This window comes from Homo sapiens, chromosome 4, assembly GCF_000001405.40.
Source record: "Homo sapiens chromosome 4, GRCh38.p14 Primary Assembly".
NCBI classification, from domain to species: Eukaryota; Metazoa; Chordata; class Mammalia; order Primates; family Hominidae; genus Homo; species Homo sapiens.
The window spans coordinates 174111915-174129684 of record NC_000004.12 but is presented as its reverse complement, the minus strand read 5'-3'; the positions used below and the strand labels follow the sequence as shown (position 1 = coordinate 174129684).

The 17770-nt window shown below is 36.9% G+C and overlaps 1 long non-coding RNA gene across 1 annotated transcript in view; it reads left to right on the top strand.

The window, feature by feature from the left end:
* Positions 1-17770, top strand: part of LINC02268 (long intergenic non-protein coding RNA 2268) — a 125739-nt gene that overhangs the window by 90714 nt on the left and 17255 nt on the right. The window contains exon 2 of the long non-coding RNA NR_125896.1: positions 9599-9788. This is a non-coding gene — a long non-coding RNA (long intergenic non-protein coding RNA 2268). The remainder of the gene's footprint in view (positions 1-9598; positions 9789-17770) is intronic.

Here is a 17770-nt window from a genome sequence, read left to right as displayed (position 1 = left end):
TGGGCAGATTTGAGAGCATTTAGGAAGTGGTATCTACCTGGCACGGTATATTTTAGACCCAAATACACTGGTGTTAACTGAAACTTTAAAAAGCAAATGTTTCTTTTACAAAATTTTTGTTTTGAAATATTTTCAACTGAAGACAAAAGTAGAGAGAGTAGAACAATGAATCACATTTAATACCTTTTCCAGATTATGCAGTTAAGATTTTGCTACATTTGTTTTATCTATTTTTTTTAGTTGACGTTTAAAAAGAACTCAGTAATTATATCACTTTACCCCTCCATACTAATGCATATGGGTATAAGCACAATCTAACCAAATAAAAAGAAGAGTAATATCATATCTTTTAATATGCAGTCCATAATCAAATTTACCTGTCTGAAAAATGGCTGGAAATACAATTCATACAAGAACGGTGCAAAGGTAATTTATACATTTAAGTCAGCTTAAATCTTGATTTTCATATTTTAACAATGAAGATTTGGTGCTCTAGTTATTTCCTATGCTGCCTACAGGTTGTTTTGAGTTGTTTGGTTTTTCATTTATTTGCAGTATTACAGAAACATAAACTTTTAAAATGTATATGTATTCAATGTGTATTAATTGATTTCATTTACTTTTTTGATGCCCATGTTGTCCCAATTTTGGCCATTGGAAGCAGTTTTTCTTAATTAATGCTTATTATCTGAATATTTTCCTTTAATACAGATGGTGTGAATGTAAAATACAAAGCATTGTATATGACTACCATAGAACTTGGTTAAAGAAGAAACAGTGGGCTGGGCGCAGTGGCTCACGGCTGTAATCCCAGCGCTTTGGGAGGCCGAGGCAGGCGGATCACGAGGTCAGGAGTTCGAAACCAGCCTGGCCAGCATGGTGAAACCCCATCTCTACTAAAAATATAAAAATTAGCTGGGCGTGACGGCACACGCCTATAGTTCCAGATACTCCAGGGGCTGAGGCAGGAAAATCACTTGAACCCAGGAGGCGGAGTTTGTGGTGAGCCGAGATGGCACCACTGGCTCTCCAGCCTGGGCGACAGAGTGAGACTCCATCTCCAAAAAAAAAAAAAAAAATAAAAGAAGAAACAAGAAACAGTATGTTCCCCATGATCCACACATGATCCCAAACAATTTGTGATCATTATTTCAGCTTCAAAACTTTGTTAAGATTTTGATTAAAATTAAATAGTTCGGGCAGATAAAATAACCAATTTAAAATACTTTTGGATATTGTTACATTTGACAGTTCTAAGCTTTGTTAAGAAAATTTCCTACAAGATCTGATGTTCAATTTTTCCTAAAAAAAAATGGTGAGCTTCTATGTCTACAATCATGTCAGATGTTCTATACGAATCCCTTCTTTTGACCAAAGCTGCTAGTCTAGATATTCATTTTAGATAATCATTGTTTGATAAATCTATAAGAAGTAGAACGTGAAACCAAATTAAGCACAAAGGCCTGTGTAACTGGAGCCTCACCTTGCACTCTAAAAGTATAATTCATTTACTCCAAACAGTCCTCCTAATTCAGATACGCAAGATCCCCACTTTCTAAGTAACAGAAAGTTCATAAATCCACTCAAATCCCATCCCAGTTTCCAAGCCTTCCCTGTTAGCTGCCGAGTTCCATCGTAACTCTGATTGTCAATGGCAGTGGAGGGTAAAGGGCAGCTTAGTGGAGGTGTGTCTAAATCATGAGAGCCGGGTGTGGCTCCCAACTCCCCACATTGCCAGCATTCTGCCGCTCCCTGTAGAAACTCATCTTCAGAAGGTGAGATGCTCATTTCTTAACCTGATGTTCCATGAAAGGCATGCTAGGTTATGAGGCTAGGGCCCTGTGGTGTAAAGCTTTTTCAATTTCCTCTTGGCTGACAGTACAGATTTTGATGGGGGCAGGCCAGTGGCCCTAGGCACTGAGACACCTTTCTTGGTAGAAAGGATCACCTCCGCAGTTGTGGGGCTCCTCAGAGATCAGCAGCAGCTGAGTGTCTCCAGCAGGAGGTGTGGGTTACAGGAAAGTGGAAGGGGTGCTGCCAGCAGGGCAGCGTGTTCTCTGAGGTTTGGGAATGGAACTGTAGAGGCTGGGGGTGAGAGTGGACTGTGCTGGCTCTCTGATCTCTCGGCTCCTGATGGAACCAGAACAGCCCCAATTGCCATGGGTCTTCCAATAAGGTTATTTCCTTAGTTGCAAGTTCAGGTGAAGGGCTAATGCTTTCTGTGAGGCATGAATCCAAAAGGTTACAACTCCTGGTGATCAGCTTAAATTCACGACCATATTTCAGGTCACAAACTGGGCTCAGGGGTGCAGTGACTCCATATACTAATCTACGTCAGTCCCCCACAGACCCAAAGCCAACATCCCTGATGTCTCCTTGCTGATCAACTTAAAAAGTGGTGAGGAAGCATGGATTTTAAATGAGCATGATATAAAGTAGCTTGTTACACACTGCTTGAGGCTACTTGCCTTATACCTATTTTTCTAAGGAAGGTGAACCATCAGTACTGCAAACTGGAAAAACAGAACTATGAAAATTAAACTTCAAGGCAACATATTACAGCTATAATGCATGCTTTTCCCTTCACTAATTGAAATTTGACAAGCAATAGCAGATTTAGGGGGTAGATAGTGCTGCCTTTGTAACATTCTTTTATATCATTTCAGAGAATCATAAAGACTAAAGGTTAAAATGGAGAATTTAAAGGTTCTTTTCCATTTAAAATACTGGGGCAAAATGATATTTGTTCTTCAGGTCTAACATACACTCCATTTTATTTATTCAAAGATTAAAAATAGCTTTTCTAAATCAGGTAGTTGAATCATATGAAATTGCTGTTTTTGTAAGGCAAAAATAGTTAAATTGTGGCAATTTCATAGTTCAACTCACATATGGACACCATATTTATTTACTAGCCCAAAAGTTATGAATACATGGTTTGATGCCATCTTTTTCTTAATAAAGCTTACTTGAATTTATTTAATTAAATGAAAGTTTAAAATAAAACATTTTATTAAAAGATGACATTATATAAAAATAAAAGAAAAATACATCTGATATATATCAGCCATAATATGTGACTCATTTAGGTGCTGTTGAAATTGATGGCCTATTGTGCTGTTTTTCATTATTTGGAGGACTCGGCAGCTCAGTGAAGCTCCATTCTTTTCAGTGATTTCAAATATTTCTTGGCATGTCTCTGCAAAACTCATTTTTACGGTTCTATCAGGCCCTGGTGACTTTTTGACCCTTCTCACTACCTCTGATTGTAAAATTAATGAGCAATTACTTTTGATCATTGGATTCTTAACAGGCACTGAAAGGGAAAGGTGTCTATTTTTTCATGTTTGGGATCTTGATTTTCTCTCAATGAAAATTGTTGATTATCTTCAACCATACCAACCATAGATGCTTATACTTTGTTTCATTCAGAAAACAATTTTTCATGATGTCATGATTTGGAGGAGTAGCATTTCTTAAAAAGGGTATTGTATGGCTAAGGTTTCCAAAGTTTCTATTCCTTCTCTTAATTACTCCATTCAAGGCTGTTTTTTTTCCTACCTGAATCTAGGCCAGGAGGTATTGTGGTCAGTTTTACAGAGCACTAGATGAGTGTTGCCCAATGTAGCTGTGTGCGGTGATGAAAATGTTCTTCATCTTTGCTGCCCAGTACAGTAGCCATGAGCCACATGTGGCTACTAAGCACTTGAAATATGGCTTGAGTGAATGAGGAACTAAATTTTTCATTTCATTTCATTAATTTAAATTTATATTCATATAGTCACATGTAACACAGCAAAATGCACAAGGCAAAAAAGTGAGGATCCCTCTAAGTGCAATCAACTACGTCCACTGGCTTCGGAATTGACTGTATGTGAAAAAATACAGTGGGAGAAGTAAGTACCCTCTGATCTATTGTCAGAGGGGCTTATGCTCCCAGTTTTCTACTCAGTTTATTTACCTTCAAAACGTTTCTGACTATGAAGGATTCATTTTAATATCTGGTCAGAAAAGGGCATGATTCATTTGACTGGAACATGTGAAACTCAACAGAATGTAAGAGCGTAAATTGTAAAGGAGTAGTACTGACTTAGAAAAGAGATGTTATGCATATCATCGGCCTTGATTTCATTATCTAAAATGCAATGGTTGGCTTAAATGGCTTTTAATGTTTCTTCTAACTGTAAGATATAGTGTATTAGAATGAGATAGTAGAGTCAGTTACCTGCCTGTTCTCTTCCTTAGTATACTCTCTGCATGCTCCAGCAACTCTACCCCAAATAGAGAATAGATTGAAAGGATCTATTCCTTTCAAGCCTGGAGGCAAGAGGACCATCTAAGGTGCTGGGCAATAACATGTGTGAAAGAATTTTGGGGATGGGGGCGTTGAACTAGGAAACTGTGGCAAAGGGGATGGTATTAAGTGGAAAGACTCAGGAAATGTTTAGGAGATGGGTAAGCAGGACTTGTGAAGGGTTTGGTGTTTAGGCAGGGATGGGAAGAGTAAAGAGGAGAGATAAATATGCCACTATGTTTCTGGCTTGTTCAATTTTATGAATGGTAATGCCATTTAAATATTGGAGGAAGTGCAGATTCTGAGGAGGGAAATAACAAAATTTTGCTTTAGAGATCTTAATTTTTGGGTATCTGTTGAAGATAGAGAAAGAGAAAATTCTAGGATGGAGACACAGATTTAGGATTTATTAGCATGTTAAGATGGTATGCAAAGCATTAAGCATCAGTGGACTTACATAAGGAGAGAAGAGAGAGACAAGTGAGAAGAAAGCTGAGTGCAGGAACACTAGCAAGGAAGAGATGCATGCAGAAGGAAACTCCTAAAAAGGAGCTGAGAAGAAGGGGATGGAGAAATAGGAGGCAGAAAAGTGAGATTGGTGAGGAGTCCATCGTAGTCAGGAGTTAAATAACATTCTCAAGCTTCTGTCTTGGAGGCTTCATTTTTGTTCCCCCAACCAAGATTAAGAATAAGCGGGGGAGGAAGGGGACATGGATGGGATGTAGAAAATTAGTGCTTTGTTTTGGACTCATCAAGCTCCAGGTTTGTGAGACATACAAATAGAGCCATGAATATTTGGATCCCCAGATAAAATGAATCTTGGTCCTATAGTAAAAAATATGGCGAAATATACCCTTGATTTAAAAATATTTTGTTGGGACCTTACCATGACATTCTTTACATTGTCTGGAATATCGTATCTATCTCTATTGTCACATTTCTTAAGTTATCTTGAGTAAAACTACAATCCCTCTCACATAAATAGATACACATACTAACAAACAAACAACCAAAACACACTCCTGGTGAAGCACAGAAAATGTTTTTCTTTGTAGAAGCTGAAATCAGGAACTTGGGGTCTGACAGATCCAGGTTTGAGTACCAGCTCTGCCACTTACATACAGAGTGACCTTGGGCAAGTCAGTCCCTCCAGTCCAGGCTAGTAATATTCAATATTACAGGGTGTTTGTGAGAATGAAATTAGGTGACATATGAAAATGATCTAGCATGGTAATTTGCACCTGATCAATGCTCGGTAAATAGTGACTATTATTATTATTTAAAAATCATCAGGCACAAAATTGTAATTCTTTACACTTGCCTTAATTACCTCCACATTTCATCATGACAGTTATATTTTCTACCACCCTGCTGCACTCTTTAAACTCCTTCCAGTATTAGCATCATTCTGTGCACAACAAACTCAAGAGTTTATCCACATGTACAATTTGTTTTGGGGAGAAATACTATCTGTGGATGACAGTGGAAGGTTAAGATTGCAGAGGAGATAGAAGGAAACAATAAATATCACCATGTCTTCGGCTTGTCTTCAAGCTGTGGACAATCCAATTGAGGAATCAACAAGTGCTCTTTCCTTTAAAGTTCTAAAAATATTTGACAAAGCAATGCATCCACAAGCAACCTAATGTCAGACAAGCTAGCTACTAGTTGGATAGAAAAGTGTGAAATGGCTCCCTTCCTTCCATATTAAACTTGCTGATGCCTTAATAAACACCACCCCCCAAGATTGCTGTTCATTCAGCTTTGTCTAGAAATCCAGTGACTGTAATCACTTCATTATTTCCTCCAACATCTGGAAGGATATGTGGATATAGACCATTATCAGAAAGATGATTTTACTGAAAAATAATCTTAATGTTTGCTTATTATAAAGATGCATAGAATCTGGAAAGTGCTGCCAAGTGTTTTTCCATCACAGCACCTTTTAGTTCAGAGAGTTCACTTCAAACAGAAGTCAAGGGGCCATTCTCCTGTTTTTTTCTACCCATCTGCCTACTCCATCCCTTGCTCCAAGGTCCTGGCTTCTGTTTAGTAACATGCTAAGGTCAAAGGCTCTGAGACTTTTATTCTTGGCTCCATTTATAGGAATAGATAAATTCATCCTAGGAACAAGCTCAGGTTGTCTTTGGAGATTTTTCCAGAGTGAACTATTCGAACAGTAAAAATATCAATGACAATGAAACAAACATCTTTCTCTAAATTTTACCATGTCTAATTGTTTAACTTCAGTGTGTCATTATGCTAAAAGTTCTTCCTTACTATGGGTGAAGAAGGGAAGGAATGAAGTGTTTGAAGGAAATTTAAAATTTTGTCCTGCCACATAATACGCTGGAAATGAAGGGAATAACATCCTCTGATTCTTGCCTCTGGCCTCACTGAAGAGACTTCCTAGCTGTTGCCCAGCTATCAGAAGTGTTTCATAACAGTATGAAAAGAATTTTGTTGTCCATACTCTAAAAAAAGCATGAGGAAAGCAATGTTTTGTAATAGTTCCAAATGAAGTAGAGGCTGCTCCCTTTGTGACACTCTACTATTGAGAATCCACAGCTCCTTAGCAATGAGACATAGGAGGAAGATAGACTCATCTGGTCCCAGTATTAATAATGCACTGTTTAAATTAACACAGTACATTCAGTTCAATCAAGGGTGTTAAAGTGCCTACTATATGCTAGTCATAGTAGTAAGTCCTAAGTTTAACAAAGAAAAGGTCCCTGCCTGCTGTAATTAACAGTCTAGTGAGATAGAAAGACAAGTAAACATATCATTTAAAGGCTTAAATAGAGGTGTTATAAGGTACTGCGTGAAAAAATGAAGTGTTTGGATATGTTTGTATGCATGTCTTTGGGGGAGGTTGGAGGCTTAAAGGATGTCTGGACAATGTTAAGAAGGGAGTTGAACAAAGAAACAAATACATTGATAAGCATGTTCTAGAAAATTCTCTCTCTTATATTTGTGAGTTTGCATCAGGGGAATGTCAGCAATATTTACCATGAATCTAATTGCCAGTCCCTCTGTGTGTTCATAGAATGCTAATGTGTGTACTATCCCATTCCTATGCTTGACCCATTTATTTTCTAATCTCCAGTTTGGAGAAGGAAATACTAATTTTACCCCAAGCATAATTTCATCTGTGACACACTGTGTTGTCAACAGTGAAGATGCAATCTGGGTAGAGAATATAACCTTAAGACAGTCTTCTTAGAGCAAATAAACATGTTCTTGCATTAACCACTTATTCTCTTTGGAGAGCTAATTACTCTTCCCTCAGCTGGCTGGGGCTGAGGGTGAGGGGCAAGGCTTTGCTGCAGAGAAAGTCAAATATCTGACTAAAAAGACTTTTCATCTATGTATCTGATACTTTTTAAACAATTTGCATCAGCTAAGTGTTATGGGTTTTCCATCACATTTGGAATAATGAAAATATTATGGCTGGGCACGGTGGCTTACACCTGTAATCCCAGCACTTTTGGAGGCCGAGGTGGGTGGATCACGAGGTCAGGAGTTCGAGACCAGCCTGGCCAACATGGTGAAACCCAGTCTCCACTAAAAATACAAAAAATTAGCCGGGCGTGGTGGTGGGCACCTGTAATTCCAGCCACTCGGGAGGCTGAGGCAGGGGAATCACTTGAAGCCAGGAGGCAGAGGTGGAAGTGAGCCAAGACTGCACCATTGCACTCCAGCCTAGGCAACAGTGTGAGACTCCATCTCAAAAAGTAAATAAATAAATACATAAAATAAAATAAATAAAAAAGAAAATCTTATATTTTAAGAAAATTTTATTTCTTTTTGAATTAAAACAAAATGTTCACACTTTAGTCGCTAAGTTACAAGGACAGATTAGTTAGTAGGAGATTATGTATTCTGGATAGCCCAGATTAATTGTTGCTTTTAATGCCCTTTCTAAATCTGATTCACAGATGTATATCATTATGGATGTATATTATTAGTGAGAGTGGGAGAAAGGGGCAATTATACTTCACAATGTCTGAAAAATATTGCTACATAATTCCAAACTATTTCTTTTTCTCTTGGAGGAATACTTTACTTGATTTCAAAGGGGAATTTGTGGACATTCACGTAAGTTAGAAAAATACATCACAAATATGCACCACTGCAGTTCACAGAAGTTAAGAATTGTAATCTAGGGACTCTCAGCAGCAGACATCCAATAATGCAAAGCAGTAATAAAGAAAGGCTTGCAATGAAGCACGGACTCTGTAAAATGTGACTGGAATGAGGCTGAAAGTGTAGAAGGCATGTTGTGTCATCCGGCGTTTAATCAGTGAAGATGGTGGCCTGACTTTGTCACAAGGAACTGCATTAGATAAGAGTACCCTGATTATGTGGTCTATTGCATACTTTGAAACATGGAATTGAAGAGCTAAGAGTTCATCTATTCTGGCCCTTTATGGAGGAAACTGAGCTCCAGGGTGGTTAAGTGACCTGGTCGAAAGAGAAGGAAAGATATCCTGCTTCTGACTTCAGGGCTCTTTAAAGTTCATCATATTTCTTAATGCCATTGGTGGATGAAAAATTAAAACATAGACCTGGTATTTACATTTTAACTACTGTGTAGTTTGCCAAATCAAGATTCCACTATGTTAATGAATTCATCTGATTTTCTAAAGAAAGGCAAAGTCGCTTTGTCGAGTTAAAAGGAATCAACTTAATTTCCGCCACTAGGTGGCATGATGCATTTTTTTTCCCCCTCTGGACACTTTTTGAAAAGGAATCTATCCCTCTCCCTACACCACACACACACACGCACGCACGCACACACACGCACGCACGCGCACACACACACGCGCACACACACGCACACGCCCGCGCACACACTCTCTCACACACACACAGAGATTGGAGAGAGACAGGAGAGAGACATGTTTTCATCTATCCTTTGTGGACTTCTGTTGTTTTTACTGCTGTGAAATTTGACTTGCGATATCTGCTTGTAAAACATCATCAAATCCAAATTCATTATATTCCACTTTTTCTATTACATGGTTTCTGCTTCACTGATTCATATCTGTTTTACCTATTCTGTAAGGGAGGAGAAGCTGCGTTAGGTTTCATCTCTTGTTTAAGTTCAGTTTAATAAATAGTAGATAATGCCTCTTCTCTTTTTTCCTTTTGAAGAGGAGAAAAAGGAAAGAATTGTAGTTGATTCTTATGTAGCAACTTATTCATTCATTCAGTAGCTATAGAAGCGAATTGTTTTGTAGGTAATTATTAACGATGCTTTGGATAATTCCCTAGCTAACTATTCCTTCTTTTCCATCCCAGAAAGCAATGAAGAGAAAAGCTGAAGTCAGTGATTAGGAGTGTCTGTGTAAGTAAAAGCAACAGGCAATTACTGAGTGTGGTGTGAGAGGCACGGAAAGATTGGGAATTCAGCAAGAAGAGGAATTGAAGTCAAACCTCACCTACTTCCCAGAGTCTTCTGGATTTTCTGTTAGAAGCTTCAGTATCTGAGGTAAGGAAAAGAAACTGCAGGACTTACAGAATATACCCTTTCCTTTCCATCCTCTGTATTACTTAATAGGTATTTTGCTTTGTTTTCATTTTTTCATTCCTCCTCTTATCTTCTGCCTTAATTTTCAACTCCATATTACTAAGTGGCATGGTTTTCAAGTTTTCTGTACAGTGTTTTACTATTTTAAATAAAAAAAAATTTTTAGTTTTAAATTGATTTATTTTTCTTTTAAAATTTTAGATTCAGGGGCTACACATGCAGGTTTCTGACATTGAACCCATCACCCAAATAGTGAACATAGTACCCAAAGGAAGTTTTGCAACCCTTGCCCTCTTCCTCCCTCCACACTTTTGAAGTCCCCAGAGTCTACTAAGAAACATCTTTTAGAAAGTAAACAAGCAAATACTTTTGTGGAAGAGCCAGACACTTCAAATGAATTTTGTTCTCAATCCCATCAACATGGGTTTTTAAAAACACTAATACACAGAATCACTCCTGACCAATGGATTCATCATCTCTGGGGCTGAAGGAGGGGCAATTGTATCTTTTCAAAGATCTCCAAAATATCTTGATGTACCCTGAGAATGGAGACTTTCTGAAATGCAGCAATATGCCATGTGTCATTTTTTTCCCTTTAACCAGCATCCTGGTCTTGCGCCATTTTCCTAGTGACTCATGCTTGAAACACAGCCATCTTGGTTCTCCCCTCTGTTGTTCTTGTGTGTAGTTAGTTCCTAAGTTCCGCGTCTTTCATCTCACTAATGTTTTATATCTTTCCACTTTGTCACATCGCCATTACCATCACCCCAATTCAAAGTTTCCCACCTTTCTCTTTTCAACACAGATGTATTTGACTTCTTTTTCCGATGTTTAAATTTACAATTTTTGTTACACTTTGGAATCGCAAAATAACAAGAGAAAAAACATTAGGAGAGGAGAAAGTGATATTATCATGAATAATAAAACTCTTGTTTCATGTGTAGCACAAATGAAAATCACCCCCAAATCTTTTTCTTCAAAAGGAAGGAAAATCAGCATCTGAGAGGGTTGAAAAATAAGTTCATTTTTTTCCCTTGCAAAGTTACTGAATTGCCACCTACTGGTTTTACTATAAGAGTAAGAGCTATATATCTCTTGTTCATCATTGTATCCCTGGGAAAAGCAAAATGTCTTGTTTTATTAATTAAAATTTTATTAGTTGCAAGTAACAGGAGCCATCCTGACATAGCTTATACAAAACAGGTAATGTATAGTTAAGCTATAGAGCACAGTGGTAGAATTCAGGCTGGTCTAAGGAAATAATTGCAGACAGGCCATGGAGAGGCTTCAGGGTTTTACGTTTTGGGGGTGCTTATTTTATTTTTCCTCTTTGCTCTATACTTTTTTGGGCTTCTTAGGTCAATGTGGCATTACATAGCTGCCAATGCTTTCAAGTAGGTAGAGTACAATTTCAGTCATGAGCTAGGATGAACTAGCTATTTCCTAGCAACTTGCCTGGGGACCGGATCTAACTGGCCCAGCTTGAGTGAGATAATGTACTCTGGTCAAGTCAGCCACAAGCTTAGGCACTGAGACTATTGTCGAAGGTCACCCCTTACGAATGGGGAGTTAATGTGAGCTGGGAAGATATCCCAAAGGTGTCTAATGCACTGACAAATGGCAAAGATGCAACAGATATTTTGGATAAATAAATGAATAAAATAATAAATGAATGAACCAAGAGACTGTTAGTTTTGGGTAGCATAATAAACTCAGATTGACAGATAAAGAGCAATTCATTAGGCATCTACTTATTACCAGAGGCTGTAAGGAATAAAAGCTGAAAAAAAAGAGGAGTTCCTGACTTTAAGGAACTTGTCAGAAGAGGTATCATTAACAAATAAGGAGAATATAGGCAGTGACAAGAAAAACACAAAATATTATGTATATTCTGTCAACTGAGAGATCATAATTTTACTTACATTAGTTAAGATATTGTCAGCTGCTGAGGAACTGAGAAATCTCAGTGGATAAACACAGTATAATATTTTATGCTATGTAAAGTTCAATAGGACGGAGGGCTGGGTTTGGGGTTTGGGGTGAACAGGAGGGCAGGATCTACCGCATGGAGCCATCAGGAACCCCAGAACTACCACCTCCAGCACGGACTTCCGCCACGATCATACTGCCAATCAAATGCAGCCAGCACAGTGAAAGGAAATACCCATACAGAGGGTATAACTACTTCTGCGGACAGCCCATTGGTCAGTCTACTTTCACATGGCCATACCTTACTAAAAAAGAAAGCCGGGGACTGTAATCTTGCCGCATCCAGGGAGAAAGGCAGTAGTGTTTTGGGAATTGCTAGCCAGTGACCACTATAGCAGCATTGTAGTTATGGCAGAGTGGGTGGGGGAGGAATAATTTTTAAAAAATTATGGAAGAAATGCTATAGTTAGACCATCTTTGAGGTGTAGGTCTTAACTGTTGGAAAGAGAACAGCAATTTTTGAAAGAAAAAAGTAATGTAGGCAAAGATCTGGAGTTGGGGAATAACTATGTTTTAGGAGTGTTGAATATGAAATAGCTGTCTTGAAAGTATGATAAGAACTGAAAAGGTAGTTATCTTTATTTGGCTATTTCTTTTGAACATATCTTTCTATTAACTTCAGCACATCAGTTTATTTTTCCAGGAAGTGGATTTTGGTTAAAAATTATGCTGATAAATAGTGAGGAGAAACAAAAGTTTGGAGGAAAAGTAATAAAAACTTGATATAAGTATCTATACTATTTCTTGTCTTCCTATTCTGACCTTCTGCATTCTAAATTGAAACAACCACTCTAATTTTCTTTGTAAAATATCAAGTTGGCTTGAAAATTGTGTGTAACAGCAATACAAATGTAGTTTTCAAAAGCGGGGTTTAAATCAATAAATATTAATATATTTTTATTTTTATTCCCTGCATCTCTTCTTTCTTAAATCAAATATATTCAGACTAATGTATTCATATGTTAATATTATTTTTTTCTGGGATGGCATTAATTTCAACTAAATATCTTAAGAGAGTAATGGGAGGGTTTTTTCCTTCTTGTTCAGAATTTCTTTTAAATCCGACATCTGGTATTTGGCACTTGACTTTTACTAGACCAATTGAGCACTTTTAAAGGGGAATAAATCATATGACTTTCATTTTAATTTTTACTGTAATGGTTTAATGCAGCCAACATATGCTGAGTAATAGTATTAAAATAAAATCAGTAAATGAGGGATTAAAATTTGCCTGAGTTCAGTTTTGCAAAGACACTAATTAGAGAAAGGTTTTTCAGATCAGAATTGGATAAGCCAGCAATTTTTTAAAATTGTAATAATATACTGAGAAATATTTGGGTTTGAGCATGCTGTTATTGAGAAGGAAAAATTACAAGGGAAATTAACACCTTTGCTCTAATGCGAGGCTGTGGGGTGAATCTGGGAACCCTTGCATGCCCGTTTCTCCACTGCCAGAAAGTATCCAGACAAACACTGAAGACCAATCCACATTTGCTTATTTTAAACAGAGATACTAACTTGAAAACTGGAAATATTTGAGTTGGACTAAGCAGGATGGAGATTTCTTGACATCATAAGGAGCATTCATTTAAATTTCTCATTTCAGAAACTTGAATACTAGAAAGGCTTTCTATCCCACGCCTTACTTTTTGGCAGCCAGCCAGTTATTTTCTATGGTTCTAGTTATTGGGGTACGAAACAGTTTGCAGAATTAAGTTAGAATTTTATTTATAGCTTTGAAACGTCTAGCTAAATGTTCCTAAATATGGTACTTCTTGGTAAACAAATAAAAGCGAAATTATTTCTACATCAAAATTGAGCAAGGAGAAAATTAATGGGCAGTATTTAGCAGTTTCTTTAAATTTCCTTCAGTTATGAATAGCATAAATAAGAAAATTAAATGGGTTAGTCTTACTACAGAGACCTTAATTCTAAATACTTTGGGTTCATATATATGACCAATTTAATTAAAGGAGGTTTTGACCAGCAACCTAAAACATGCCATATCATACTATAAGAAATGGGTTTTCTGACTTGTTAGATAATCTGGAAAGGTGTTGTTCTGATTAAAAGGATAAAAGGCTTTTCTGTTCTGTGAGGTATAAAAAGGAATTCTTTCAATATCATGAATAGAACCACTCATGTCACGTTCACTTAGTGGTTTTCAATAAATAAGGAACATGATTGGTTGCACTTTGCTATTTTTAGACATTCACTGTAGTATAATTTCTTTATATTACAGAAATCCAGAACAGGATAAATCAAATCACCGGTTCAGTGTGCTAAATTAGCATATTCAGCTCTTGAAGAATTTATGGAAAACGGCTTTCAAAATGCAAGCATGTCTTTGTTCTCTTATATTTCTTCAAACCAGTCTCTCATTCATTTCCAAATATCTAACATTTCAGATTCATTTTTGCTTTCATTTTTTGCTCTCTCCTTTTCTAGACAATGCCAAGCAGACTGGGTAATATAGGAGAAATCTCAAGAAGTACCATGAAGTAATGCTCATCTCAAGACTTCTGCTGTTTGCCAATTTTATTTCTTTTCTTCTTATTGAGATAGTAATTCCCACTATGAGATTCATTAGAAATCAGGCATTAAGGTTGGAGTCTTTCCTTAAAAGATATTAATATACACAATAAGAAAGGAGGTATTGAGGCTGGTGTGTTTCTTCTGTTTTTCAACTTCTTTTTTTTTTTTTTGAGACAGGGTCTCACTCTGTCATCCAGGTTGGAGTGCAGTGGCACAATCTTGGCTCACTGCAGCATCCTCCTCTCAGGCTCAAGCAATCCTCCCATCTCAGCCTCCCAAGTAGCTGGGACCATAGGCCTGCGCCACCACACCTGGCTACATTTTTTGTATTTTTGATAGAGACGGGGTTTCACCATGTTGAGCAGGCTGGTCTCAAACTCCTGAGCTCAAGCGATCCACCTGCCTCGGCCTCCCAAAGTGCTGGGTGTCTTTCAACTTTTCTATTACTTTTTGTTTGTATATTACTCTTGGTGAAACAAAAAAAATTGTAAATTGTAATATATGTTATTTGTCCTCAGGAGTTTATCATGAAACAATCTAGGAACAAACTAAAGCTAATAGTAAGTAGAGAAATTAAATAAAACCACCTAAAATAAATGTGATACAGATACTAGCCAGGACAAGGGGGTTCCGATGGGCAGAAGCGTATAAGTCCAATTTATGTGTAGAAGTCGCTTGAGTTGGGCCTTGGGTTATAGTATAAATCAAGAGTGGGTATCTTCAGATGTAATTGAATGGATGTAACAGAGGTAAAATTTCAAGTACCGTAATGACTAATATGGCAGTGACAAATTTTGGGGAGGCTAGGGTACCACCTTAAGTGTGCCAAGTCATGAAGGAAATGCTTAAGTTTGCTTAGCATCTTTCCGAGACTCACACAAGGAGGATTTGGAAAGATGTCTAATACAACCAAAAGAGGAGAATCAAAAGATCAACAATGATTGCTTTAAAATGTTGGCTTCTGCCAGTGTTGCCCCAAGTATATTTATCCCTCTTCCTTTCTACTCCTCAATTTTCAGACACTTTGATGAAACAGAATAAAACTGTACTTTTTTTTTTAGATATTCCTATGCATTCTACTGCTTTAATCCCACCTAAGTAGAGATGTCCACAACAGAGAGAATGGAGCTGTCACATCGTTTCAACTGCCCAGGTAGTTCCTACTGGATGAATGGGATTGTCACCTTCACACCTGCTAGAGGCTTGGAGCATGCAAGAGTTTTTTTAAATGGCTTCACCTTTCTTATGAAAATGCAACCACTAGTACTCTTCCAATAAAAGCTTTTCTCAAGTGTGAGTATACACTTGGCATGGAATATTTTAGCTATTTTCTCTCTCAGGACTCATGTTTTATTACATAGCATTTAGTCTCAACATATGTGGATACATATTTTCTTTCTGATAGTTATTATGCTTTTGTTTCTTCATATTTGTTTTATTCTTGATTTGAAAAAATTAATTTCAGAGAAACCTCCAGACTACACGCAAGCCAGTGCAGGCATTTGATATCATGAAGCTATGAGAATTCCCAGTTATGGGAAGCCCTGATGTCATAAGAAAATTAGACCAGCTTAGCTCAGAACAGTTTCAATGAAATACATTCATTTCACACTGTATTAATATAATCCTTGTATTACTTCTTTTTATCAGTCTCACAAGTCTTAATTTTTCCAGTCAGATATAAATAAGACACAATGCAAAAGAAAGCTTAAAGAGGGAGAGGTGAGGAGATTCTTTGAGGCCAGGAGTTCTAGACCAGCAGGGCAATATAGTGAGACTCTGTCTCTTAAAAAAAAAAGAAGTAAAAATAACAAGAAAGCTTAAAGAATGGTAAATATCCCTTTAAAGTACATTTCTTCCTATGTCAGTCTCCAGGTTTTCTATCCTAGTTGTCACTTATTAACTCAGAGTGTTCATATTTGTGTTAAATTGAGGAAAGGTGAAATTCATTCTGAGAATAACTATTCAGACATTGATAAAAAGATTTGTTCTCTCTGGGCAACATTCTAGGTCAGTGAATTTAGCATTGAATAAGATGTTATTTTGTATTCAAATAACAGCTGTATCTGGTTTACCCCTTGTGGCGCAGTGAGGAAAATTAGGCAATGTGTAAATATAATTTTTGTTATTTACTATGCTACATATTCAATTAGCTTGAAAACAAAAAACAAACACCAAACCACTCATTCCACCGTATAGCCCAGAGCTACCATTTCCCTCTCTAAGGGGAAGAGAACCTAAGCATTGGCTAGGAGCAGCTGCAATTAGAATTTCTTTCATAGACTTTCCTGAAAACCCAATAAAAGAAGTAGAAAGGAGAGGCTGGGCCTATTACATTTATTGGAGGCCCACAGCCTGGTTTCTATTAAGTTTGACAGTATTTATTTTTGAAGCTAGAATCATGTACTTACCTATGATTGCAAACATTGTTTTCAAAATATCAAATAACGAATGTGCAAAAACTGAATAATAATGAAATGGATGGAAAGTGACAAAACGGAAATTCTTCTCCCCCACAGCAAAGGCTCAAAAATTCCAGAGAGTGGACAAACATGAATACTTCCTGTTTCACTGTAAAGGTTTTTGGTGCTTAAATTTTAAGTCTCCATTTTCAGTCTGTGATTGTCTATCAATTATATTTAATTAATGTTTTTATTACAATAATATTGTGCCATCAGTTACAAAATATTTTATAAAACAATGCATATTCGTGTTATTGCCTTTCAAGAAAATTCCAGAAAATTCATAGGGATATTCCCCTCAAATTTTAATGTTATAACATTTCCCGTGTAATAATGTGTCTTAAAAAGTTGCCACTTATAAAATAGTTTTCCCGTATGACATACCCAAATTCTGGGTCTTGTCCAAACCTTTATGTTTCTGTCCTACAACATTTTCTCATTTGATAGTTGGTCATGTGAAAAAAACATGTTATGTTTTCATGTTATGTTTCTCTAAGTAGAAAGATTTTTCCAGTGAACAAAATCTTAGCTCAATGTTCCCAGTAAGAGTCTGAACAAGCAATCTTGGTATGTTGTAGAACTTCAAGTTCTGTTATGAGCAGAATTTCCTCACAAATGTAGCAAAATTATTGCTCTTACTTTTCAGTTTTTCTTGTCTTTTTTTTTTAATGAAGGACTTGAAACCACCAAATCTTATTTTCTTTCTTATGGATTCTATTAATTATAATGCATATTTGAAAATTGAAGCTTTGTAGTTATTAAACTACCTATTACTTCTGATGTTACCTTTTGGACAAATGGTATTCATTTAATTTTGGGTTCTGTGAATTTTTGATTTTACAAGAACCCTTTGGCTTTAGAAAGAGAATGAGAACATCTCTGGATTCTTTCACCCCTTTTTAACGGTGGGGCTCCGTGTACTTTCCACTGAAGGAGTGAGCATTGTCAACTAGTTAA